This window comes from Homo sapiens, chromosome 1 (assembly GCF_000001405.40).
Source record: "Homo sapiens chromosome 1, GRCh38.p14 Primary Assembly".
NCBI classification, from domain to species: domain Eukaryota; kingdom Metazoa; phylum Chordata; class Mammalia; order Primates; family Hominidae; genus Homo; species Homo sapiens.
The window spans coordinates 200,668,410-200,695,672 of NC_000001.11; the positions used below are offsets into that span (position 1 = coordinate 200,668,410).

Genomic DNA, 27,263 nt, shown 5'->3' on the forward strand with positions numbered 1-27,263 from the left:
CCATACGAGGACTAAGCTCTAATTTTTTATCTTACCCAAATTCCTTTCTAAGGGGTCTGGAGAGTCATGCCCTACAAACCATAAATTCTCATCAGATGGGTTTTATTTAACCCTGTATATCGTGACTTACTTTCCAATCTGACTCTGGCCTAACAAGGAAGAAAATAAAAATGTTTTACCCCAAAATATATTTCCTTGTCGTACCTTAAAACTCCCCTGCAAAGTCTCTTGCAGGAAAAATCTGCATTTGGTGAGAATTCCCATCTCCCCTTGTTTTCCCTCCTTCCTTCCCAGATCCAGGAGATAATCAACTAAGAGCCAGGCACCCTTTTAAGTCCAATATAAAACAATTTACAACCTGCTCTCTCTAAAGTCTATCTAAGAGCTTCCTCTGCACAATAAAACTTGGTCTCCACAATCCTTTATCTCTAGCCTGAACATTCCTTTTTATGGATCCCAGGTCTTTAGATAACCTCAACCAGATAACGTTTACATTTACCGATTGAGTTGCCCCGCCTTTCTAAACTAAACCAATGTATTTCTTAAATGTATTTGATGTCTCACGCCTTCCTAAAATAGATAAAACCAAGCTGTACCCCAATTTCCTTGGGCACATGTTCTCAGGACCTCCTGAGGACTGTCACTGGCCATGGTCACTTGAATCTGGCTCAAAATAAATCTCTTCAAATATTTTTCAGAGTTTGATTCTTTTCATCAACCCATATCTATACCTTTTTACACCAAAAACATGTCTTTGCAAAATTACAGTTATTGGGAATAAGGCTTTTAACCTAATCTGGGGACTATCAAATATACTAATAAATATTTTTCTTAAAAAAATTCTTTGTTTAAACTGCCAGATTCCAACTTCCAGAAAAATTCCAACAGAAATGCAACCGAGGGTCTAGAATTACTATCCTAAATCTCCGAAAATGTACAGGGGGTGGCGGGCGGGGCAGGGACGGCTCTAGGTGAGCAGGAAAAAGCTTGGAACTCAGTCTTCCAATGGCGAAAGGGAACGTGCTCCTGCTGGGCGGGACGGCGGACGGCTGGCGGCGGCGCGGCCTCCAATTCTCGCCAACGCGCCCCGCACCCCCGTGCACTGGCGGGCCCTCCCCTCGGGCGTTGCCTCCCACCCACGCCCGGCGGCACCGCACCCCGAGGCGCTTCACGTCACGGAGCTGCTAGGAGACGGGCGGGGCTCCGGTTCCGGGTAGAGGCCTGGGACACGGGGAACTGTAAGGATGGGAGGAAGGCCGCGCAGGGGCACCAGTTCTGCCGCCGCGGCCTAGCGCCCCAGGTCCCGGAGAAGGGGCACCAGGGCGGCCAGGGGCCCAAGCTTCCGGGGCACGCTCACCCGCGCAGGACTGAGGCCGCGTCCGCTCCCGCTCCCGCTCGGGCCGTCTCCCCCTTCCAGGCTCCAGGCCAGGCTTCCGCCCGACAAGCCCTGACCCGCTCGTCAGGACTGCGGCCCGGGGTTGGTGGTGCGGAGCGGAGCGGAGCGGAGCGTAGAGTAGAATCCACTTCCCCGGGTTTTGGGAGGGGGCCGCAGCCCGCTTTCCGGGCGGCGGGGAGGCGGGGCCACCGCGGGGGCGGAGCTCGGCTGGGAGCCGGCAGTGGCTTGGGAGGGAGGGAGGGAGAAGGAGAGGGGCGGGAAGGCTCCTCGCGTTTTCCACGCCCCCGCCCAGCTCTGGGCTGGTGGTAAATCTCGGAACTGGTCCGGGCTGGGCGAGTTCTGGACGGAGGGGCACGTTTGGGAATCCTCTTGGAAGAATTTACGTAATCGAATGGGCTGGGACTGGTGGAAAAGAGTTGGACCGTCCGGAAAGAAGCAGGAGGGCGGCGCGGGGGCCTGGCACCCTTAGAAAGTGGGAAGTGTGAGTGTAAAAGGGAGGGGCACTTCTGCCCGTTGGGCCCAAAAACCCTTTTCTGGCTTTAGCTAGTAGAGCCACTCAAAATTTAAACGGAGTCAGCTTGATGTGGCATATATGATAAGCTGGATAATATTTCCTGCACCACCGCACCCCTCCCCCCACCCCAACACCAACAAGAAAATAACACAAGTCACGGTTCTTGTTCCTTGTGGGCTGACATTTCCCTGTTTTGCCAACCTCTGGAGCCACGTGTCCCAAGCAGCTTGTAGTTGAGAAGTGATGGGGGAGAGGAGACAGCACGGGAGAGGAAGGAGGGAAGCCAGCTTATATTCAGGTGCCTTAAGTATTTAAAAATATTTTCAGTGTAATAGTCGATGCATTCAAAAGAGCATATTTACCAAATATGTAAAATTTAAAGTATGCTAATGAAACTATCACTCCACCACGTTATCAGTATTTAGCATGTATCTATGCATCTCCAGGATTCTACTCCTGGCCTCTTAGCTCACCACCACTATCTTCAGTTTTGTCCCTCTTTGCCATTTTTAGTGGTTTTATCATATTTGGATGCATTCCTGTGTATTGGTGTATTTTTCTTCTTTTTGAGCTTTATAAAAATACATATAGCCTGGAATTCGCTTTTTATCACTCAACATTTGTTTTTTTGGTTCATCCAAGTTGTTACGTGTAGTAACAGAACATTTATTTCTTACTGCCTAGTCAAAAGGAAGTTTTCTCCTGTCAGGAATGTATTCAATACTGTAGCGGATAGGATTATAAATGCACTTTAAGTATTTTCTTTATTGATGGGAACCACACAGACTAAATGTATCAGACTTCCCAAGTTCGTAGGTCACATACCTATAACAGAACTCTTTTCCTGGGTTTTGTGACATTTCTAATTGTTGTAATTTCTTTTGCCATTATAAAAATTAGTCACTTTTGAACCTAATTTGTATTCATCATTCTGAATCTTTTTCTTTAAAAGCCTCCTCTTTTCCAATTATATAAGCTCATACCCCATAAAACCTGAATCTGCCCCTAGTAATTACTAATAAGGCTAGTAGGAGCATTCTTGTTCACCTTCTGTGCATGCGCTGGACTCTAATTTGAACCTAGGATTAGCACTGCGGCATCAGAGGCTATGGGGGCTGTTCAGCTTTCAAAGATAAAGCAGAAATGTTTTCAAAGTGGTTGTACCAATCTATACTGCCACCAGTACCGACCACAATTCTCTCTAAATCCTCGTTATTTTCACACTTCTTACTTTTTGCTAGTCTACCCAGAATAAATACCATGTTTTTGTCTTAATTTGCATTCCGTAATTACTGATAAGGCTGAGCACTTTGAAATATGTTATTCATTCATGTTTTCTCTTCCTCTTCTAAGGATGTGTGTGTGTGTACATATATAAATGTATATATAATGTATATATGTATATATAATGAAACATTCTTTTGTTAATTGTAGGTGTTGCAGATATCTTCTCCCTGTTTATAGTGTGTTTTCAAATAAAAAAATTTTTTGACTTATTTTGAAAAAATCAACCTTATCAAAAAGTTTCAGAATTAATGAACTCCTGTATACCCTTCACATAAGTTCACAGTTTGCTATATTTGCTATATTAGTGTGTAGGAGAGATTATATATATAAAATATGTATACTATAGATATATATTTTTTTCTGAACCATTTAGGAGTAAGTTGTAGCATGTGTCTCCAAAGACAATGATATTCTCTTTTATACTCACAGAAAAATGTTCCAGTTGAGGTTGTTTGTTTTTTGAGACAAGGTCTCACTCTGTTACCCAGGCTGGAGTGCAGTGGTGCGATCTCGGCTCATTGCAACCACCTCCCGGGCTCAAGTGAGGCTCCCACCTCAGCATCCCGAGTAGCTAGGACTACAGGCACACCCCACCTGTTAGAGAGAATTTTTTTGTTGTTAGAGATGGGGTTTTGCCATGTTGCCCACGGTGGTCTCCAACTGCTAGGCTCAAGCTATCCACTTGCCTTGGCCTCCGAAAGTGCTGGGATTACAGGTATGAGCCACTGGGCCTGGCTCAAATTTAGGTAGTTTAACATTGATGAAGTAAGAGTAGCTAGGACTACAGGCACACCCCACCTGTTAGAGAGAATTTTTTTGTTGTTAGAGATGGGGTTTTGCCATGTTGCCCACGGGGGTCTCCAACTGCTAGGCTCAAGCTATCCACCTGCCTTGGCCTCCGAAAGTGCTGGGATTACAGGTATGAGCCACTGGGCCTGGCTCAAATTTAGGTAGTTTAACATTGATGAAGTACGAGTAGCTAACATGCAGTCCTTATTGAAAATTTACTAGTTGTTCCATTAAGGTGTTTTAGAGCTATTTTTTTCCCCTAATCCAGGATTCAGTCCAAGATCTTTTCATTTTCTTTATGAAGTGTTTTTTTTTCTCTGTTTTTTTTTTTTTTTTTTTTTGAGACGGAGTCTCTCTCTGTCGCCCAGGCTGGAGTGCAGTGGGGCGATCTCGGCTCACTGCAAGCTCCGCCTCCCGGGTTCACACCATTCTCCTGCCTCAGCCTCCTGCGTAGCTGGGAGTACAGGCGCCCGCCACCACGCCCAGCTAATTTTTTATATTTTTTAGTAGAGAAGGGGTTTCACTGTGTTAGCCAGGATGGTCTCGATCTCCTGACCTCGTGATCCGCCCGCCTCGGCCTCCCAAAGTGCTGGGATTACAGGCGTGAGCCACCGCGCCCGGCCTTTTTTTTTTTTAAAGAGACAGGGTCTTCCCTCTGTCACTCAGGCTGGAGTGCAGTAGCCCGATAATGCTCTATGGCTAGTCTATGGTCAATTTTCATATATTTTTAAAACCAGAGAAGAATGTTTATTCACCATTAGATAGATACATGATACTTGCAAATAAATCAAGCTTGGTATTTCAGATATTCTATATCTTTACTAATGTTCATGTTCAGATTTCCCCATCAGTATTTCCCCGTCAGTATTTCTCTTACCTGTTAGTAGATAAAATAGATCAAGCAATCAGTCTCCCATTATAAAGGTAGATGTGTTCATTTTTCCCTGTAGTCCAGCAATTTTAGTTTTGTGTATTTTGGGGGCCATTTTATTTTAGAATCAATATTTGTAAAGCAATTCAAGCATTAATGTGTCATGGAATCTTAGGTTTGAATGCATTCATCAGAGTCCAATCACCACCCCTTGCTACTCTCCATACCCTTGTAGGAGGAATTATTTTATAGCACCCTGCTACAGGACCAACTGGCTTGTTGAATGCTTTTAGAGACAGGGCGCTTCCCACCTTACAGGGCAGTCCAGTTCTTCACTGGAGAGCTCCATGATTATACTTACTATTTAATTAGACTCTCTATGGCTAGGCATTGTGCAAAGCATTTTAGAAACATTGTCATATTTAATTCTCACTGTAATCTTATAAAGTAGGCATTTTATCCCCATCGTACTAATGAAGAAACAGGTTTAGGTAATTAAGCATCTTGCCCAAGGTCACACAGCTAGGTAGTGGCACAGCAGGAATTGAAGCCCAGGTCTGTCTCCTAAATCCACTAGACTACACTGCCTTCAAGCTTTTCTTTATGTAAGTATAAAACCATATCCCTTTAACTTTCAATCAGGAAACCTGGTTCCAAAACCATTTTTAGTGTTCCTAAACTTCCTAATCTGTTGGAAACCTTAGACATAACTCACATTCATGTGTTCCATTACTGTGCCCAACTTTCCTTAGTTTTCTTATGGAAGCTTTAGACCTTTGCTATATGTTTGTATTATTGTTACTTTTGGAAAAGTAGCCAATCTTGATGAGCAGGATGATTCATTCTGAATGAATGAATGAATGAATGAATGAAGCCTAGTGAGTAGCAACTCATTTCTACATATGAGTTAGGATGCTGGATGAAACCTAATTTTTAACATCAAGTTCTTCACCTTTCAAGGTTAATAAGTCAAACCTCAGAGCCACTCAGGTCTCACTTGTGGCTCTTTCCTACTCTTTTCTTTAATCAAAAAGCTCAGAATCAGGTTTCCTCTTAGGTTGCACCAGAGCACAGTATAATTAATCTAAACTCCCATTTCTGTTTTCTTCACAAAAGATCTTCACGGAAATGGTTTTATGATGGTCTTTTAATTGTGGGGCCACAGAAAACATTATTTATAGTAGGTCACATGGAAATCACAGATGGCGTTACTAATTCAATTTTAATATGCTTTATGGCAGGGAGGGATGGGAAAGTATACAAAGGTGACTCAATTAGACAAGAGTTGTGGAATGCATACATCCTACATAACCATTCTAAGAGTTTGCCTTAAGCTGTGTCTTAGAACAGGAAATGCTGCAATAATGTGAGCTGACCTGTATGTTATTCTCATGTGCTGTTGAAACATGTATAGAAATAATAATGCCTAGCATTCTTTCATCTTGGGAAACTTCAGTCTCACACGTATTAGTTTATAGCTACTCCTTACTCTTTAATATGTGAGGCTTGGAAAGCCCGTATAAATTCTGATCAAGGTGGATACAGGAAAGCACAGTTTAATAGTATTTAACTGCCATTGATTTTTTTTTTCCACTTGTATCATCACAATGAATCAGATCAGAACTTGGACCTCAGTACTTTTTCTGCCTTTGGCATCTTTTCCTGATAAGTAGTATGACCAAGTATTCAAATTCTAAGAATTGAACTATTTACTCATTCAACAGATTTACGACATTTGCCATGTGCCTAGAACTGGGAATATAATGATGAAATAGGAAGTCATAGTCTTTGCCCTCACCAAGCTTCCAGCAGGCAGGTGGAGGAGGGAGACAGACAATTCCACAGTAAGTGCGGATAAGGGAATTACAGGGTTTCATAGGAATGTAAGGATGGGTACATAAGCCAGACCTGCTGAATCAGGGAAAGCTTCCCAGAGGAAATGGCATCTAAACTGAGATCTAAAAGCTGAAGAGGAATTGGGACAATTAAAATAGGAAAAAGAAGAGGAAGGAAAGGCCCAAAGTGAGATATAGCACATCCAAGGAACTGAAATAAGTTAGATATTAGTCTTCTTAGATCAAGTTATACTGCAGCAACAAATGACCCCAAAATGTCAGTAGCATTTAACAGCGAAGATTTATTTCTTTATGCTGCAATATGGAGAAATGATAGTGGGGGATGCTAAAATATGGAGAGAAGAATGTAGAGGGTAAAACCGAGGTAGGAACCTGAGGCAATATTTCAGCCTGAAGAGGAGCGTGGCCTGAACTTTAGGGTAGCCTGAATTAGTGGCAGTGGAGAAAAAGAGAAGTAGACAGAATCAAGAGATAAAGAGAAAGTTAGGTCAATAGTTCTTCTTGATAGATAGGACGTGGAGGGTGAAGGAGATAGAGTCATGGTTGACACTCAAGTTCAATAGGTCAATAGTTCTTCTTGATAGATAGGACGTGGAGGGTGAAGGAGATAGAGTCATGTTTGACACAAGTTCAATACGCACTACATAGCTTTATAGTAACCACAAAACATGATGATGAAAACTTTTATAGAGAGGAATTTAATACTTACGATAACATGATAAACATTTTAATGTAATAATTTTAGAAATGTCATCCTACTAATCTCATATACATCATAGAGTTTGTGATCTCAGTGATCAGTATTATTTTTTCTGCTCAAACTCCTGGTACAGATACATTCACAGAAGTACGTAATTCTTGTCAGCAAAGCTTCTGGGATGACAATTTAGGAGATGCCGAATTAAAATGAGGTCTATTTTACCACTCTACATTCATCCTAAAACTTGAACTTAGAAAGATGTCATTGAATGTTTAGAAAAATAGACCGCTGCTGAGCTATAAAATCTACCTTTGTAAACTTTAGCAAAGGAAGGCTCAGGCAGGTTTCACTAGATTCAATATTGCAAGGCTGTCATACTCTGAGGACATCATATATGAGCTATGACCATTAGCATACTTAGAAACCTGCTGCCAATATGACCAGGCGTGGTGGCTCATGCCTGTAATCCCAGCACTTTGGGAGGCCGAGGCGGGTGGATCATCTGAGGTCAGGAGTTCGAGACCAGCCTGGCCAACATGGTGAAACCCCATCTCTACTAAAAAATACAAAAATTAGCTGGTCGTGGTGGCAGGCACCTTAATCCCAGCTACTTGGGAGGCAGAGGCAGGAGAATCGTTTGAACCCAGGAGGCGGAAGTTGCAGTGAGCCAAGATAAAGCCATTGCACTCAAACATGGGGACAAGAGCGAGACTTCTCTCAAAAAAAAAAAAAAAAAGAAACCTGCTGCCAATATGCGTTAATTTTCCAGAGGAAAAAGTATTGTGCTGGATTCTCCCTTTCAAGATTAGGCATGTTCATGGGACATTAAACTTTCAAAAAATGAAGAGAAGAGCATCTTAGGTTTTCCCAAGGCAACTCTAAATTTCTCAGCAGGGGACAAATCAAGAGCACCAATTTGGATATTCTTTTATCTGGTAACAACCTCCTTTTCTTCCAGCTTTACTTTGTTCAACTTCTCCCGTCATGATCATTTTCAATCACACTGGGACCATTAGTCTATTAATTTCTCTCCCAACATGTCTGTCATCTTCTGTCTTCCTTTTGCATCTTATCCCACTTATATTGTGTACTTTCAGGATTTATTTCAGCACTGCAACGAGCCTTAGATATTTTACTGAAATCAGAAATGTTCCAGCACTGCACAGATGGCTGTACTGATTAAGAGTGTTGTTTTGTAACCATGGGCTAAGGAGTTGATCCTCTGGCATCTTCCAAAGGTGACCTATGAGCGTGTGTGTTTTTTTTTTTCCTTAATCACTATGGACTCAAGGATTTTTTTTTTCTTTTTTTTGAGACAGAGTTTCACTCTGTCACCCAGGCTGGAGTGCAATGGCACGATCTCGGCCCACTGCAGCCTCTGCCTCCCGGGTTCAAGCGGTTCTCCCCCCTCAGCCTCCTGAGTAGCTGGGATTACAGGCATCTGCCATCATGCCCAGCTAATTTTTGTATTTTTATAGAGATGGAGTTTCAGCATGTTGGCCAGGCTGGTCTTGAACTCCTGACCTCAGGTGATTCGCCCGTCTCAGCCTCCCAAATTGCTGGAATTACAGACGTGAGCCACCGCGCCTGGCAGACTCAAGGATTTATTTTATTTAATTTATTTTTTGAGACAGGATCTTGCTCTGTTGTCCAGCTGGAATGCCGTGGCATGACTTAGGGTCACTGCAGACTTGACCTCCCTGACTCAAGCGATCCTCCTGAGTAGCTGGGACTATAGGCACAGTACCATGCCCAGCTAATTTTTTAAAAAATTTTTTGTGGAGATGTGTTTCTCACTATGTTGCCCAGGCTGGTCTCCATCTCCTAGACTCAAGTGATCTTCCTGCCTGTGCCTCCCGAAGTGCTGAGATTACAGGTGTGAGTTACTGTGTGAGGCCAGACTCAAGAATGTTTAACATATTTGATGCATTTCAGTTAATTGCACTTACTATTCTTTGTGAAGCTTAAATTGTCCCATCTTTGACAGTGGGAACCTCTTCAAGGTGGCTTTAGGGTCTTTTTGACACATAAAACCCAGTAGTCTTTGAAAGTTTCCTTGCTTTCTGGTGTGATGGAGCTTGTTCCCAGCTCATCTTACTTTTTTTTTTGAGTTGGAGTCTCGCTCTGTCGCCCAGGCTGGAGTGCAGTGGTGGGATCTTGGCTCATTGCAACCTCCACTTCCCAGGTTGAAGCGATTCTCCTGCCTCAGCCTCCTGAGTAGCTGGGACTACAGGCACATGCCACCATGCCCGGCTAATTTTTGTATTTTTAGTAGAGACGGTATTTCGACGTGTTGGCCAGGCTGGTCTCGAACTCCTGACCTCACATAATCCACCCACCTCGGCCTCCCAAAGTGCTGGGATTACAGGCGTGAGCCACCACGCCTGGCCCATCTTACATATTTTTGTCCCAGACTGAGAATCAGCCATTTCTATCAGGAGCCTGGGTTTCTGATTCCCTTTGACAGAAAATGGTATTTATAGGCCACAGCCTAGGCATGAGAGATGCTAATTGCTACTAAATTGGTTATGGTTTCTAAGCCTTTTTAGTGGACAGAGCTCAGACATTCTTTTTTTTTTTTTTTTAGGAGAAAAAAATCGTAAGTTCATTTTATTCAAATTTAGGATTACAAGGTTTTTATTTAACTTTAAAAAGTTAAAAGGTTTTTAATTAAAAAGTTTTAAATTTTATTTTGATATCACTTTTACACTGAAAATTTTAGTTTCTAAGTATATTAATGGCCAGGAGTGGTGGCTCACACCTGTAATCCCAGCACTTTGGGAGGCGGAGGTGGATGGATCACCTGAGATCAGAAGTTCGAGACCAGCCTGGCCAACATGTCGAAACCCCATCTCTACTAAAAATACAAAAATTAGCCAGGCGTGGTGGTGCATGCCTATAGTCCCAGCTACTCAGGAGGCTGAGGCAGGAGAATCACTTGAACCCAGGAGGTGGATGTTGCAGTGAGCCGAGATCACACCAGTGCACTCTAGCCTGGGCAACAGAGCAAGACTCCATCTCAAAATAAATAAATAAATAAATTTTAAAAATTTAATATAATTTTATTTGTTACATATAAAATGGCTTCAGAATAATAATACCAAAATTATTACTAACCATATAATTACTGAAAATAGTTTAAAATGTCTTTGACTTTTTAAAAATTCCAGATATATTCTAGTAAGGATACATAGTCAAATTATTGTGTTTTAAAACCATGTGAAATAATCCTTTCTGTATGGTTAAGCCACTAAGTCAATTCAAAGGGTGGATCTATTTGTTTCCTTTTGCTTTTGCTTTTCATGAATTGATTTTCTTTTCCATTTTGATTTAACATTGTTTTATAATTTTATAAACCTGTCTCAGATACTTGGGAGGCTGAGTCGGGAGAATCACTGAAGCCCCGGAGTGTGACGCTACAGGGTGCTATGATCATACCTGTGAATGATCTGCACTCCTGTTTGGGCAACATACCTAGTCCTATCTCTAAAAAAACAAAAACAAAAACACAATACATTTACAGGGTTTGAAATCAAATCTACAAAACTATGTATATTCTGAAAACTTTAGCTTTTATTCCTTCCACCCTATTCCTTCCCTCTCCCATAGGTTACTTAATTTTTTTAATTCAAAAATTGTTTTGTCTATCCTTCCAGTTTTGAAAATATAAGCAAGTATTTTATATCTGTGCATATATATATACACCTTTTAGATAAACAGAAGCATACTGTAGACACTTTTTCCACCTTCTTTTCAGCTGACAACATATCCTGGAGATTGATTGCTTCATGGCAGTGTATAAAAATATTCTTCATTCCTTTCCACTTCTCCATTGGGTGCACTATAGCTCCAGTCTCTCGCAGATAACCATTTGAGCTGTTTCCAGTTATTTGCTATTACAAGTGCTGCAGTGTATAGCCTTCCAGATACTTAATTAAGATTTTATAAGTATGATCATATTTTATGGAATCTGAAACCCCATTGATTATAAGTGACACCATTACTCTATATAACACTAAAAAAGAAAAACACCCTGCCAATTAACTGTAAAATGCCATTGATTGTAAAATGAATCTCAATTTCAGAGCTGTAAAATGTAAAAAAGTGTACATCTTAGCATTTAGGAAATTAAAATTTCGTGTAATCCTCATAACAATCTAAAAGGAAGGTACATATAACTATTGTGAGCTCCATGAAGGAACAAAGTTTTTCTTGTTTTTGGCTCTAATATGTTTTTTAAAAAATACTTTTTAACATTTTAAAAATAGAGATGTGAGGTTCTCACTAAGTTGGCAAGGCTGGTTTCGAACTCCTGGCCTCAAGCAATTCTCCTGCCTCGGCCTCCCAAAATGCTGGGATTATAGGCATGAGCCATCATATCTGGCCATTTGGCTCTAATCTCAGCCCCAAGAACTATGCTTTCAAGGAGAAGTGTGTCTAATAGTGCACAGTAGACACTTAAATATTTGTTGAATAAATGAAAGAGCCCCCATTTTACAAATGAGGAAACTCTGAGGTACAAACTTTAAGAAACCTGCCTGAGAGCAGTCATTTCCTGGCAGAGCCTGGATTTGAACCAAGAAAGTTACAACTCATATCTGCTGCATTCTCGCCTATAAATTCATGGATACCTGGCTGGGCACGGTGGCTCACACCTGTAATCCCAGCCAGCACTTTGGGAGGCAGGCAGATCGCCTGAGCTCAGGGGATCAGCTTGGGTAACATTATGAAACCCCATCTCTATCAAAAATACCAAAAAAAAAAAAAATCAGCTGGGCATAGTGTCGTGCTCCTGTGGTCCCAGCTACGTGGGGCTGAGGTGGGAGGAGAATTCCTTGAGCCTAGGAGGCGGAGGTTGCAGTGAACCAAGATCCAATCTCGCCACTGCACTCCAACCTGGGTGACACAGTGAGACCCCGTCTCAAGTAATAATAATAATAATAATAAAAATTCATGATTACCAGTCACAAAGGGGCCCTCAACAATCCTATTGCTTTTCTCTGGTCAACTTGCTCTTCCATTGCAGCAACAATTATTGTAAACCATCACTCCCTCCAAGCCTCAAAAATCCCCTCTCCCAGCTTCCCTGGACCCACTCCCTGACTGATGAGCGAACCTTGCCTCCTATTTCATAGACAACACGAAGCCATGACATAAGAACCCTCTCAGCTTCTCACCAAACATGCAAATCTTCCTGCATTATCAGTAATTCTCTGTGCTTCCTTTCCTCTGTGCTACATAGGATGTGCCCTTTGTCCTATCAAAGGCTGATTCCTCCACTGGGGCTGGGGATTCTGTCCCTCCTGCCTTCCTTAACACTAGTAGTTACCCCTTTTTGCCCTGTAAATTCAACCTGTCCCTCTGTATGAGTTAGGATTCAGCTTGGCTGCATATAAGAAAAAAATCAAATTAATTGTGGCCTAAATGAGAGAGATGTTTTTCGCTCTCACGTATTTATTTACATTTTAATTGGTCTGAGTATGTGATGCTTATACATTGTATAAAAAGTAAAAGGTATGAACTGTACTCCTACCCTTACCGCAGTCACCTAGCTCCTCAACCACTCTTTTAAGTTTAAAAATAGCATGTAAAGCGACAGGAGTGGAAATGGTCACTTGACTTGAGAGTATGCATAAACGGAGAGAAGGGAAGCAGGGACAGAGCCTTTGGCACTCCTGCTTTTAAAGACTGAGTCGAAGAAGAACTGGCAAGTGATCTAAGAATAAATGTCATTGAAGAAGGAGGGAAACCCAGAGATTGTTTTGCCCTAGAAGCAAAAGAAGAAAGTATTTCAAGGAGAAGTGTTTCTAATACCTCTCAGAGATTCAAGTAAAATAAAAACAGAGAAGTGACTGTTATATCTGGCAGAATGGAAGCCATTAGTGACTTGGACAAGAGGAATCTCAGGGGAAATGGACTGAGGAGAAAATGTGGGGTAAAAAGCTAATCAGCGATTATGGCCAACTCAAGAAGTTTTGTTATGAAGGGGAGCAGAGAAACTTGCCTGGGGCTGGAGAGAGATATGTGGTCAAGATATGTTTTTTCTCTCTTAAGATAGGAGCTATTATGGCGTATTGTTTGCTGGTGGAAATAAACCATGGGAAAGGGAGAAATTGATTATACAGGTGAGAGAGGGAATAATTTCCAGAGCAAAGTCCTTGAAGATGCAAGATTTGCATGGGCTGCAGAACACAAACAGAAGGGCTGGCCTTTGAAATGCAAGGACACTTGATCCATGGAACTAGGAGGTAACTCAAAATGGGTACATACAAAAGCACACTGTAGTTTGAGTGGTCCTTTTCTGCTTTGATTTTTTTTTTTTTTTTGAGATGGAGTCTCGCTCTGTTGCCCAGACTGAAGTGCAGTGGTGCAATCTCAGCTCACTGCAACCTCCGCCTCCCAGACTCAAGCGATTCTCCTGCCTCAGCCTCCTGAGTAGCTGGAATTACAGGCACGTGCCACCACATCTGGCTAATTTTTTATATTTTTGTAAAGATGGGGTTTCACCATGTTGGCCAGGCTGGACTCAAACTCCTGACCTCAAGTGATTCAACCACCTCAGCCTCCCAAAGTGTTGGGATTATTGGTGTGAGCCACCGCTCCTGGCTGTCTGCTTTGATTTATTCATTTTTTGTTAAAGCTGTGGGTAAGAGTGGGGCTACAGCTGGGGTTGTGGGGAGGTGGTATCATTTAGAAGCTTTGAAAAGACGGAAGATGTGAACTAGTCTTTTTGAAGAGTGGGAAAGAGAACATTTCAAGAAATATAGTAGGATTGTCAAGTATGCTAAGCACCCAACTGAGATTTTGGGCCATGAATTTAAAGAAAACTAATGGATATGGTGAATAAGATCAGCTGAGCACTATTTGGCTGCTCTCATGCAGGCCCAGAGTGAGCAGATTGTTGGGTATAAGCAGAGTTTCAGGCTTTCCTAATTGAATACAACAGGGTAAGCTCAGGGAGAGAAGGGCAAAGGTTTTAAGGGTGTTTGCAAGGGAGTCATTATAAACATGAGCTGTGGCTTTTAGGCTAGCTAAAGAAAAAGACGTGAGGACATGGATAGCTGATTATAGTTGAGAAAATGATAGAGTCTAAGAATGAGAGTTCTTCATGAAGTTGAAGAATTGCTGAAGCAGGAGTTCTTGAGAATCCAGAAGGATGGGGGATGCTGGTCAGAGAATGGGACTCTGGAAGTTACAGTGTCAGAAGTGTGCAGTGATTGTCATGAGAAAAAGAATGCCATGGTCATCTGAGGGGGCATGGAGGATTAGATTATCAGATGCCAAAAAGGCTGAGGAACTGAGAGGCCAAGATGTCAGATGGAATATCCACATGAATAGTGAAATCACTTTAAAATTTAAAAAATCACTTTAAAATTTAAAAAGAGAGAGAGGGAGAAATGAAAAGGAGAGCAATGAGTCAGGTGGGGTGAGGACTATTTATGTCTTCAATCAAGGCAGGCCTGGGCTTCACATTTTTTGGCTTTCTGAGGGGAGGATATTTCCAAGAAAAAAAAGAAGAAAGGCACAAAGCAAAATGAAAGAAAAAAGCCAAGAGAGTTTGTCCCAGCCCAGTGTTCTAGTGTGGTTGCCTGATTGTGAACTGCACATGCATTTTACTCTTAACTCAGGACTGCTCAAGTCTGAGCATTTGAGTAGGGCCATAGTGGACATAAGAGCACAGTTCTTAGCCCATTCTCCATATGTACATATGGGCTTTTTTATCTGCTGGAAGTATCCACAGAATTCATTAGACTCTCAAAGTGAGCATGACTCCAAAAGGTCCAGAGCCACCTCAAAGATCAGAGTGGGTTCCCTATAAAGGGGAGATGAGCAAAATCTCAGTCAATTGCACTATAATATTAATGATAATAACGATAATGATAATGGCTGATATTTATTGAGTACTTTCTTTCTTTTTTTTTTTTTTTTATGAGACGAGGTCTCACTCTGTTGCCTAGTCTGTAGTGCAGTGGCACAATCATAGCTCACTGTAGCCTTGAACTCCTGGGCTCCAGCAGTCCTCTTGCCTCAGCCTCCTAGGTACCTGAGACTACAGGGACTACAGGCACAAGCCATCATGGCTGGCTAATTTTTTTTTTAATTTTTAATTTTGTAGAGACAGAGGTCTCACTTTGCTGCCCAGGCTGGTCTCGAACTTCTGGCTTCAAGCAGTCCTCCTGCCTTAGCCTCCCAAAGTGTTGGCATTATAAGCCTGAGCCACTGTGCCTGGCTTTTATTGAGTATTTTCTATGTGCCAGGTCTCATGCAAGAGAAAACATGCCCTGAGCAAACATTTTGAGCAATCTGGTCTGTGTCAGTGAGGTGCCTCACAAGAAATGAGTAAGAAGGCATTCCACTTTAAATATCAGTCTTCGGTGAGTTGGTTACCGTGAGTCCTTTCATCAGAGACCAATCAACTCTCTGAATCACTGATCAAATTTACTTTCAGAACTTACATAGCTAACTTCACTTTGGTGACCACATCGATGTAAAGTAACCGTGTGAGGCCTTGCTGGAGTAGTCACCCTGTCTCTGTAAATCTATATCTTATTGATTGCTTCATTAGGTCACTTTCTTCAAAGTGTTTTCTTTCAATGGCAATTTACTCTGTGAGGCAAAATAAGGCAGTACTACATATAGAAAATAAAAATAACATTAAAATTTGAGATTTTTGTTTGAGTGTCGTGGCTCATGCCTATAATCCCAGCATTTTGGGAGGCTGATGCAGGAGGATCCCTTGAGCCTAGGAGTTCAAGATCAGCCTGGGCAACATAGTGAAACCTCATCTCTACAAGAAACTAAAATGTGTGTGTGTGTGTGTGTGTGTGTACACACACACGTATGTATACATGTATATACATAATTTGAGATCTTTAAAATATGGGGAAAGTTGGGTATTTGACTTAATCTATCAAAAACTTCTAAGTTTGAGATATCCTTCTTACAAATCATTGATAAAATGTGAATTCAAAATTTGTCAAGATTTTTAAATGATAATATCCAGCTTTAGTAAGCATATAAAGAAACTCACGCTCCTGTACATTGCTAGTCAATTAATACAATAGCAGTATTTTTTAATCAAGTGCTTAAAAATATTTGTACTTAGCAATTTTTCTTTCTAGGTTTTTTTTCTTATGGTGTAATTACTGATACAAATAGAGCTATATTTTGGGGATGTTTATTATGTTAAAGATAATGTTATTCTGAAAACAATCTCTTAAGTATTGAGTAAGAGATTAGTTTAACTAATTTTTATGCATCTGTACAATGGAATATAATGCAACCGTTAAAAATTAGGTTGAATAGGCCGGGCACGGTGGCTCACGCCTGTAATCCCAGCACTTTGGGAGGCCAAAGCAGGCGGATCATGAGGTCAGGAGATTGAGACCATCCTGGCTAACATGGTGAAACCCCGTCTCTACTAAAACTACAAGAAGTTAGCCGGGCGTGGTGGCTGGTGTCTGTAATCCCAGCTACTCAGGAGGCTAAGGCAGGAGAATGGTGTGAACCCGGGAGGCAGAGCTTGCAGTGAGCTGAGATCGTGCCACTGCACTCCAGCCTGGGCAATAGAGCAAGACTCTGTCTCAACAAAAAAAAAATTAGGTTGAATATTTAATGACAGAGGATATTAATGGCCTATTAAGAGAAAAAAAGTTAAAAACTGCATGCTTGGTATGACTCAATGGTTTTGAAAAAATAAATGTGAAAAAATTTATATGAAAAAAGATGAATTCATAGCAAATATTAATAGTTGCACAAGCATAGACATATAGGTCAGAAAAATAGAATTGAAAGTCCAGAAGTAAACCCTTTCACTTATGGTCAATTGATTTTTAACAAGGGCGTCTAGCCAATTCAATGAGGGTAAAGAATAATCTTTTCAATAAATGTTGCTGGGATGACTGGATATCCATGTATAAAAGAATTAAGTTTGCTGGGCATGGTGGCTCACGCCTGTAATCCCAGCACTTTAGGAGGCCGAAGTGGGCACATCACCTGAGGTCGGGAGTTTGAGACCAGCCTGACCAACATGGAGAAACCCCATCTCTATTAAAAGTACAAAATTAGCCAGGCGTGGGGGCGCATGCCTGTAATCCCAGCTACTCAGGAGGCTGAGGCAGGAGAATCGCTTGAACCCAGCAGGCGGAGGTTGCTGTGAGCCCAGATCACGCCATTGCACTCCAGCCTGGGCAACAAGAGCAAAACTCCGTCTCAAAAAAAAAAAAAAAGAATTAAGTTTAACCCCAGCCTCACACTTACCAAAAATTAAATCAAATGGATCAGACTCTAATCTCTAATGTCAGAGCTAAAGTTAGAAAATCTGTAGAAGAAAATACAGGCACAATTTTCATGACCTTGAGTCAGACAAAACCTTCTAAGATACAGCACCAAAAGCGTAAGAGACAAAAGAAAAAAATAGATAAAGTAGACTTCATCAAGTTAAAAACTTTTGTGCTGCAAGTGATACTATCATGAAAATAAAAGACAATTCATAGAATGGAATAAATGATTTGTAATTAATATATATCTGATAAGAGACTTGTAACCAGAATTTATAATGAAGTCTTAATACTTTAAAAAAAAAACAAATTTTTAAAAGGACAGAGGATCTGAATAGACCCTTTTCCATAGAAAATATGCAGATAACCAATACATGAAAAGATGCTTAACATCATTGGTAATTAGAGAAATGCAAATCAAAACCACAATGAGATAGCACTTCACACTTACTAGGATAGCAATATATATATAGTTGGCAGACAATATAAAGGGTTGTCAGGATGTGGAGAAATTGGAACCTTTATACATTGATGATGGGACTGTAAAGTGGTACAGCCATTTTGGAGAATAATTTAGCAGTTCCTCAAAATATTAAACGTAGGGATACCATATGACCCAGAAATTTCAGTCTCCTAGATTCTAAGAGAATTAAACACAAGTATTCAAACAAAAACTTGTACATGAATATTTATAGCAGCATTATTCATGACAGTCAGAAAGTGGAAACAACCCAATATCCATAATAAATGGATAAACAAATTATGTTATGTACATACAATGGAATGCTATTCGGCAATTTAAAAAAATTAAGTACAGATACCTGCTACAACATGGAGGAATCTTGAAAACATTATGCCAAGTGAAATAAATCAGTTGCAAAAGGCCACATACTGTGATCCTATTTATATGAAATATCCGGAATAGGCAAATCTCTAGAGACAAAAAATAGATTAGTAGTTGCTTAGGACTGAGTAGGGGGAAATGTGTGTTAGGGAAATGAGGAGTGATGCTAATAGGTTTCTTTTTGGGGTGATGAATTATTCTAAAACTAGGTGCTGATGATGGTACAACTCTAAATACACTTAAAAAATTGAGTTGTGCACTTTCAATGGGTGAATTTTATGGGATGTGAATCTCAGTAAAGCTGTTAAAAGTGTTAATAGTAGTTATCTCTGATGGTGGGCTTATGGTAATTTCTTTTTCTTCTTCTTCATAAATATCTCCTACAATAAAAAAGTATCGCTGGGCGCAGTGGCTCATACCTGTAATCCCAGCACTTTGGGAAGCCGAAGCAGGCAGATCACAAGGTCAGGAGTTTGAGACTAGCCTGGTCAACATAGTGAAACCCTGTCTCTACTAAAAATACAAAAATTAACCAGGTGTGGTGGTGCATGCCTGTAGTCCCAGCTACTTGGGAGGTTGAGGTGGGAGAATCACTTGAACCTGGGAGGCGTAGGTTGCAGTGAGCTTAGATTGCGCCATTGCACTCCAGCCTGGGTGACAGAGTGAGACTCTGTCTCAAAATAAATAAATAAATAAATAAATAAATAAATAAGAAAGTGTTTTTACTTGTAAGAAAAAAGGAACAGTTATTGGTTTTAGTGGATTATCTCAACAAGGCAACAGAATTTAGTAGAGCGTTTCAGGGGTTTGAGAGCATTTTTTTTTTTTTGAGACAAGGTCTCTCTCTGTCACCCAGGCTGGAGTGCAGTGGCGTGATTTTGGCTCACTGCAACCTCCACCTGCCAGGCTCCAGCAATTCTGTCTCAGCCTCCTGAGTAGCTGGGACAACAGGCACCCACCATCACGCCCGGCTAATTTCTGCCATTTGCCCGGGCTTGTCTCAAACTCCTGAGCTCAGGTGATCCGCCTGCCTTGGCCTCCCAAAGTGTTGGGATTACAGGTTTGAGCCACCAGGCCCGGCCAAAACCATTCTTAAATACATGTCCCTAGAAGAAAACTGCTCCATTCTCCCATTCCATTTCCCACATCTTATTGTTCTCTACTGTAAAATAGAAGGTTTTTTTTCCCTTAAAATAATGAAACCTGTGAGTGTTTCTATTTTCTTCATTTTATGCAGGATTCATTTCAGGCTGAATGCCTTTTCATCTTTGACTTCTCATTGTTTGCTGCATCATAAGAAACTTCTGCACTTCAAAATCTTAATTTTTATGGGAATACATTCAGTGTGCTTTCAGAAATTGAGCTTAATACTTTAATCCAATTTAACAGATTGCATTCTTGCTCTTTCCTTATCCCAGGACCAGATATCATTTGGTTATAATCCCTTAACAGTTATAAATATTAACAACAATGAATGCAGCTTGCAAAAAAATTAAATTTCAATTTAACAGTGTAATAATGTGCTGTGAGAATTAAAATGACTTGTTAAAATATAGCCTACAAATTATATGAAAGCATTGTCGAAATTAGGGATTTTCTGTTTATTATAGCATATTTTGATGTGTTGATTAATCGATTATTGCAGGTAGGTGGATTATTCAGTGTCAGATGATAACTGGACTTAAGTATGAGCGATCATGGTTGCTTAAAAGAGGTCTACTTAGTTGAAAGGCAATACTACTCAAACAGTGGGAAAAATCCATAAACATGTTATAATATCAAATTTTCCTCTTAGATATACACCATGAAATTTAAAATGGCTACATTAAATTGTGGGAGACATAGCCCACAAAATCTGAAATAACTGATGGAAAAGTACTTGAAAAAGTTAAGAGCTTTTTTTGTGTGTGTGAGATAGAGTCTCGCTCTGTTGCCCAGGCTGGAGTGTAGTGGCATAATCTCAGCTCACTGCAACCTCCACCTCCCATGTTCAAGCGATTCTCTATCTCAGCCTCCCAAGTAGCTGGGACTATAGGTGCATGCCACCACACTTGGCTAATTTTTCTGGTGGTTTTTTTTGTTTTTTTTTTTGTTGTTTTTTTTTTGTAGAGACAGGATTTCACCATGTTGGTCAGGCTGGTCTTGAACTCCTGACCTCAAGTGATCTACCCACCTCGGCCTCCCAAAGTGCTGGGATTACAGGCATGAGCCACTGATCCCAGCCAAAAGTTAAGAGCTTTATAAAATATAAAATATTATCATTATTATCACATGAAGTAAGAAGACTATGTGTCCTTAGAAAGGATGAACATAGGCCAGGCGCAGTGGTGCACACCTGTAATCCCAGCACTTTGGGAGGCTGAGGCGGGCAGATCACGAGGTCAAGAAATCGAGACCATCCTGGCCAACGTGGTGAAGCCCCATCTCTACTAAAAATACAAAAATTAGCTGGGTGTGGTGGTGTGCACCTGTAATCCCAGCTACTCAGGAGGCTGAGGCAAGAGAATCGCTTGAACCTGGGAGGCGGAGGTTGCAGTGAGCCAAGATCGCATCACTGCATACTCTAGCCTGGGAAGCTGAGTGAGACTTCGTCTCAAAAAAAAAAAAAAAAAAAAGAAACGATGAACATAAGCATTTGCAAGAAATATTCAAGTTAAAGGTTTTTCGTTTTGTTTTAATGTTTATTCTTGAAGTCAGCTTTCTGAAAAACAGCAGGAATTCTGCAGAGATGCTCGGAAATCAGGAATGAGGGTAGCAGCTTTCAGTTTTATACCGAGGGGTGATTTCATTTAAACACAGGATCTGGAGTAAAAATGTTTGAAAACCATGACCGAGGCCTGGCGCGGTGGCTCACGCCTGTAATCCCAGCACTTTGGGAGGCCGAGGCGGGAGGATCACAAGGTCTGGAGATTGAGACCATCCTGGCTAACATGGTGAAACCCCGTCTCTACTAAAATTTAAAAAAAATTAGCCAGGCGCGGTGGCGGGCGCCTGTAGTCCCAGCTACTCGGGAGGCTGAGGCAGGAGAATGGTGTGAACCTGGGAGGTGGAGCTTGCGGTGACCCGAGATCGCGCCACTGCACTCCAGCCTGGGCAACAGAGCGAGACTCCGTCTCAAAACAAACAAACAAACAAACAAACAAAAAAACATGACCGCAGATGTATATGTTTAAATCCTTTCAGTATTAATTGATGGATTATGACCTACCCCTGAATAATAAGGTGGAGAACTGAAGGCTCTTCTTTCTTTGGTGAGGCAGGCAGACCCATAGCTGGGCTGAAACCTACTGTCAGAAGTGTTAGGTATGTACGGTAATGGCCCAAGTTTATTATTATTATTTTTATTTACTTTTTTTTTTTAGACGGAATCTCACTCTGTCACCCAGGCTGGAGTGCAGTGGCACAATCTCAGCTCACTGCAACCTCGACCTCCCAGGTACAAGCAATTCTCCTGCCTCAGCCTCCCAAGTAGCTGGGATTACAGGTATGCACCACCACGCCCAGCTAATTTTTGTGTTTTTATTAGAGACAGGGTTTCACCACATTGACCAGGCTGGTCTTGAACATCTGACCTCAGGTGATCCACCCGCCTCGGCCTCCCAAGGTGCTGGGATTACAGGCGTGAGCCACCGCGCCCAGCAATGTCCCAAGTTTATAAGAGCCAAGGATGTAGTTGTGCTTGCATCCCTTGGAGATTATATTTAAGCAAAAGGACAGTGATGGGGGTGGGAGGAGAGTGCACTGGGGGTGTGTGTTTGTCCTTATAAGCAAATGCAAGATTAGGCTTTCACTCAGTGTTATAATGTAATAATTATTTTGGAAGAAAAATTTCACACTGGGGCTATATCAGAGCTTTTCACTAGGGTTTCCTGCCTGTTTCCTGGGCCGCCTTACTCACTCTACTGTAAAATCCCTGAAGGTAAACACTCTGACTTTTTTACCTTTGTATCACCAGCACCTTGGCAGTACCTGATACAAAAATATTTGAATTACTTACAAGATTTAATAATCTAGCAAGCTACCAACAAAATGATAGAAATTTATTTTCCAGCTTAGGGTAATTGATGGCCCTCACACTAGAGAAAGCATTAGCAGGTGCCATTTGCAGATTTTTTTGGAAAAGAATAGAACCAAAGGGAGCTCCTGGCCCCAATATTCTCCCTCTTAAACATTCTTATCCCTACACTTAGAGTTTCCATACTTTTTATAAGGTTAAGTCATGCAAAAGATTGCACTGTAAACCTGGATAGCCTGTTTTTCTGGAAGGTCACAGTTTTAAATAACTGTGCCATTTTAATTATTCCCAAAACAACATTTCAAAAAAGCATTGCAAATATTTTCTGATTTGAATTAGATTTTGAGAAATGTGAAGATGTTACATTTTTGGAGTCAATTAAAATTTTGCTATGAATATGGCTGATACATCTTAACCTAATTTGCTTTCTATAAATAGGCAAGTATCAATTTGTATATTTTCTTAATTTTAATTTTTCACCTTGTCACTAAAAAAAAAACAGTATTTAGTTTACTGTTTAATTGCTTTTTAAAATAATCATAGTAGCATAAATGTGTCATATAGTAGGCTGTGGAATTGATTTCCTTTCATATGTAGAAATTGAAAAATAATAAATAATAATTTTACCTAGCCTTACTTATGTTCATCTTACATGTAGATAGATTTCATAATGACCAAAAAAAGAAAAAAACCTAAAATTTTCATGGGTTACTTTTGGAGGATGCTAGGGAATCAACTTACAATTTTAAAATGTGTAAGTAAAAAGAAAGAATCAAACGATTGTCTGACCTTTCTGTATAAACTGTACCTCAGGGTAACCATTAGTGGATGAAAGAAAGTTTTCCTTTATGGGGATATTCTAGCTAATGAGTAGAGCAGGCATAATAGAATTAGAATATCACAGTGCTGCAATCTCTAATGAAATAATGGATGCAAGCAAAGATCACCAATGATTGCTAAAAGCATTAGGGGAAAAGCTGACGGAGAACTTTATAGCATATGATTCAGCCTGGCAAAGCCTGAATCCACTGATCAATCAGCCTCACACAAAGAGACAACCATGTATTGTGTGTCTCTAATGAAAGTACACAAACCACTTACAAAGTATCTCACCAAAAAATTGAACCTCAATTGAATTGAACCTCTAGATGTATTCATTTACAGAAAATATAACAGATAGAGGAATCTTTTAAACGACATCAGTGGGATGCAATTAGCAAAATTCAGACTGTGGGAAACTTTACGGGAAAAACGACAAATACATTTCAAGGAAAGAAAAGTGAGAGTGACAGAAACAGGGGAGGAACCCATAGTTTAAAAGAAACATACTAACTAAATGTAGTATGTGATCCTTATTTGCTTCCTCATTTAAAGGAACTGATGGTAAAAAAAAAAAAAATAAAAATTCAAGAGCTAACAAGAAGCTCTTCCCTACTAAAGACAAAAACAATATCAAAAACTCCTTTCTTACTGACTTTTGTTGGCGTAAATCCTACAATAATAGAAGTGTACCTTTTAGTTAAACCTTTTTGTCCTGAAATGAACACTCCTAGGAGTCAGCACATTAAATCTGTCAATCACAAACTTTACTGAGTTTATGAGCCCATTTTCCAAGGGCAGATGTTAGTGAAGGACCTGAAGCATGAAGATGATGATTAAAAAAAAAAAAAGTCCCTAGAAAAGGGAAGATAAGATGAAGACAGAGAAAACTCAGGAATCAAAGCAGTCTCTCTTCATTCACAGTTTTGTTTCCAGTGATATCAGTTACCCATCGTTAACCACAGTCTGAAAATACTAAATGAAAATATTAAATTCCAGAAATAATACGTAAGTTTTAAATTGCTCTATTTAAATTTACTCAGAAACTTATCTATAATTATTCTATTTTATTATGTTATTGTTGTTCATCTCTTACTATGCCTAATTTATAAACTAAACTTTATCATAGATATGTACATATAGGAAAAAAACATAGTATATAGTGCTACCTGTGGTTCCAGGAATCCACTGGGGTCTTGGAACCTATTTCTCTTGGATAAGGGGCACTACTGTATATGAAGGAGTGGCCCAACCCACTTTCCTATTAAGGATACAAGCTGAAAGTTACATGAATCACTTCTACTCACGTCTCATTGGTTATAACTTTGCCACATGGCCACACCTATCAGTAGGGGAAGTGGGAAACATAAGGATTATTCTGACTAGCCATGTTCCTGGATACTAATTCTCTGACTTCAGAATAAGGAGATAATGCATAGTAGTGGACTATTGGCATTCTTTGTGACGATAACTCTAAAAAGAAGCTATGTGACCAGATATCATAATGATAATGTGTTCTAAACTAAGAGTTTCACTGAAATACCCAAATACAAGTAATATGTATGTGATGGACATTTGTCCTTGACTACCTAACATCCATTCACTCTACTTTCAGTGATATACTCATTTTTATTTGAGAATCCATTCTCCCTCACTCTTAGTCCATGGGGCTCTGCAGGTATGACTCCATTCTTAGCTCTAGCAGTGACTTGTGACCAACTCTAGGGGTGACTTGTGACCTAGCCTAGCCAACCAGAACTTCACATTCCCTAGACAACAACAGCTGTTTCAAGAATGGGCACATGACTTCATTACAGCTACTAGGAAAGCTGACTTACTTTAAGTTTACAGTCATCTTGCTGCATGGACCCTGGCAATAAGACCAATTTTATGTTATTTTATTTTTATCCTAGGATCCAGCCATATTTGGAGTCTGCTCTACACTGGAACATCTTTTTTTTTTTTTTTTTAGATGGAGTTTTGCTCTTGTCGCCCCGGCTGGAGTGCAGTGGTGCGACCTCAGCGATCTCAGCGATCTCAGCGATCTCAGCTCACTACAACCTCTGCCTCTTGGATTCAAGCAGTTCTCCTGCCTCAACCACCTGAGTAGCTGGGATTACAGGCGCCTGCCACCACGCCTGGCTAATTTTTGTATTTTTAGTAGAGATGGGGTTTCACCAGGTTGGTCAGTCTGGTCTCGAACTCCTGACCTCAGGTGATCCACCCACCTCGGCCTCCCAAAGTGCTGGGATTACAGGCGTGAGCCACCATGCCCAGCCTACACTTGGGCTTCTTAGGCACAAGATCCAGTAAGCCCTCCCTCCTCCTCCCCACCCCTTTTTTCTTTACACTAGTGTTTTCTGTAATCCTGCAACAGAAAGAGTCCTAACTGATATATTTGTGACCATTTCTAAAATCTCCAAAATGTAAAATTATACAATTAAGAATTAAAATAATTTTTTAAAACCAAGTGATATCTGACTGGTTCATATATTTAAATGAATAAATTATTATCATATAGAAAAGAAATGCAAAGCATCATTGTTCTACTCTGCATTTCCAAAATTTGAAGCACTGGTCTGATTATAGGCTTCAAAATCTAGTTCAAGAATTCTGTCTCACACATTGCCAACCAACATTACTGTAGATTCGAGAGCTTAAAAATTTGGTCATTATCAAGAATTCAGCCTTAAGTTCTTTCTGGAGTGAAGTAGGACTATAGATAAGTTTAAAAAGTCATCAAGCAATTTTTTTCTCCTTTGGACAGCTTCTTTTCTAAGAAGTCAGTCTCTGTTTTCACACAAACCCCATATTCTCATCCTGTGGTACTTTAAAAGCACAACAATACTTCTTACCACTTAGAGTGAATAAATAATTCACAGTAAGATAATATCAAATGTAACACAGAATTAGTCAAACATCTTACAAGCCCCTTGAGAAGTATCTTCAAAAGAAAATACCGAGGGACAATTTTATGGATTCCTGTATTTTTTCCAATAAAGTCAACACAATAAGAAACATTCATATTTCGTGTTGCCTTTTTGGAAAAGTCCCATTTGATCAACAGGGTAGCTCTGGTGTTCTAATGCACAAGAAGCCCAGACAGCTCTTGCAGTTTGCCAGATAATAGAATATAAGCTAAAAGGAGCTGAGAGGTCTTCCAGCACATCTTCTCTAGGGAATGATTGCAGCAGAATTATGCTAGAAATGAGAGATTTATCTCTCTTTAAAGACCGGCAGAGAAAGGAATTCCATTCTTGTCTTAGTAATCCATTTCAGTGCATAACAAGCCTCACAAGAAATTGATCAACTATATTTTATACAAATCCTTTGAGCTGAAATTTTTCTGTTATCAGTGAAAATAGAAAGCTGCTAGTGACTGTCATCAGTGTGAGAGCCCTTCATATGTTTGGACACTGGAAAAAAGAGTTCTTATTTATGATGAATATCTTAACCCCTTTAACTTAGTAGTTCTCAACTGGGGGCAATTTTACCTCCAAGGGACAGTTGACAATTTCTGTAGACATTTTTTAGTTGTCACAGATGGAGGGGGAATGCTACTGGCATATAATGGGCAGAGGCCAAACATGGTGCTAACCACTCTACGATACACAAGACAGTGTATCACACACACACACACACACAACAAAGAATAATCCCCAAATGTTAAAAGTACCAGGATTAACAAACTCTGCTACCTTTCCTCATATAGTCTTATTTTCTAGACCCTTAATAATAATTCTCTTTTCTTTTTTTTTTTTTTTTTTGAGATAGAGTCTTGCTCTGTCGCCCACCGCCCACACTGGAATGCAGTAGCACAATTTCAACTCACTACAGCCATGACCTCTCCAGCTCAAGCAATCCTTCCACCTCAGCCTCCCGAGTAGCTGGG

At 40.5% G+C, this 27,263-nt stretch overlaps 1 protein-coding gene and 1 long non-coding RNA gene across 18 annotated transcripts in view, besides 1 other annotated feature; one reads left to right on the forward strand and one right to left on the reverse strand.

Annotated features, from left to right (window-relative positions):
- Positions 1–1,498, reverse strand: part of DDX59 (DEAD-box helicase 59) — a 29,103-nt gene extending 27,605 nt beyond the window's left edge. For 11 of the 17 annotated variants that reach the window (XM_047431475.1, XM_047431471.1, NM_001349802.3 and 8 more), the window contains exon 1: positions 1,358–1,498. The gene's annotated coding sequence lies outside the window, so the exon portion shown is untranslated. Of the gene's footprint in view, positions 1–204 lie in introns of all 17 variants that reach the window. The other 6 variants (XM_047431472.1, XM_047431461.1, XM_047431466.1 and 3 more) reach the window with 2 other exon arrangements.
- Positions 912–1,651: a silencer, noted in NCBI's record as "silent region_1675". NCBI's record gives its function as "represses an Ori minimal core promoter by ATAC-STARR-seq in GM12878 lymphoblastoid cells {active_cell/tissue: GM12878}" and the evidence as "EXISTENCE:reporter gene assay evidence [ECO:0000049][PMID:35858748]".
- DDX59-AS1 (DDX59 antisense RNA 1) lies at positions 1,098–25,841 on the forward strand. The gene is made up of 3 exons (NR_110787.1): positions 1,098–1,213; positions 21,900–22,021; positions 25,344–25,841. It is a non-coding gene; the product is annotated as a DDX59 antisense RNA 1 (long non-coding RNA).
- The last annotated feature ends 1,422 nt before the right edge of the window (positions 25,842–27,263 follow it).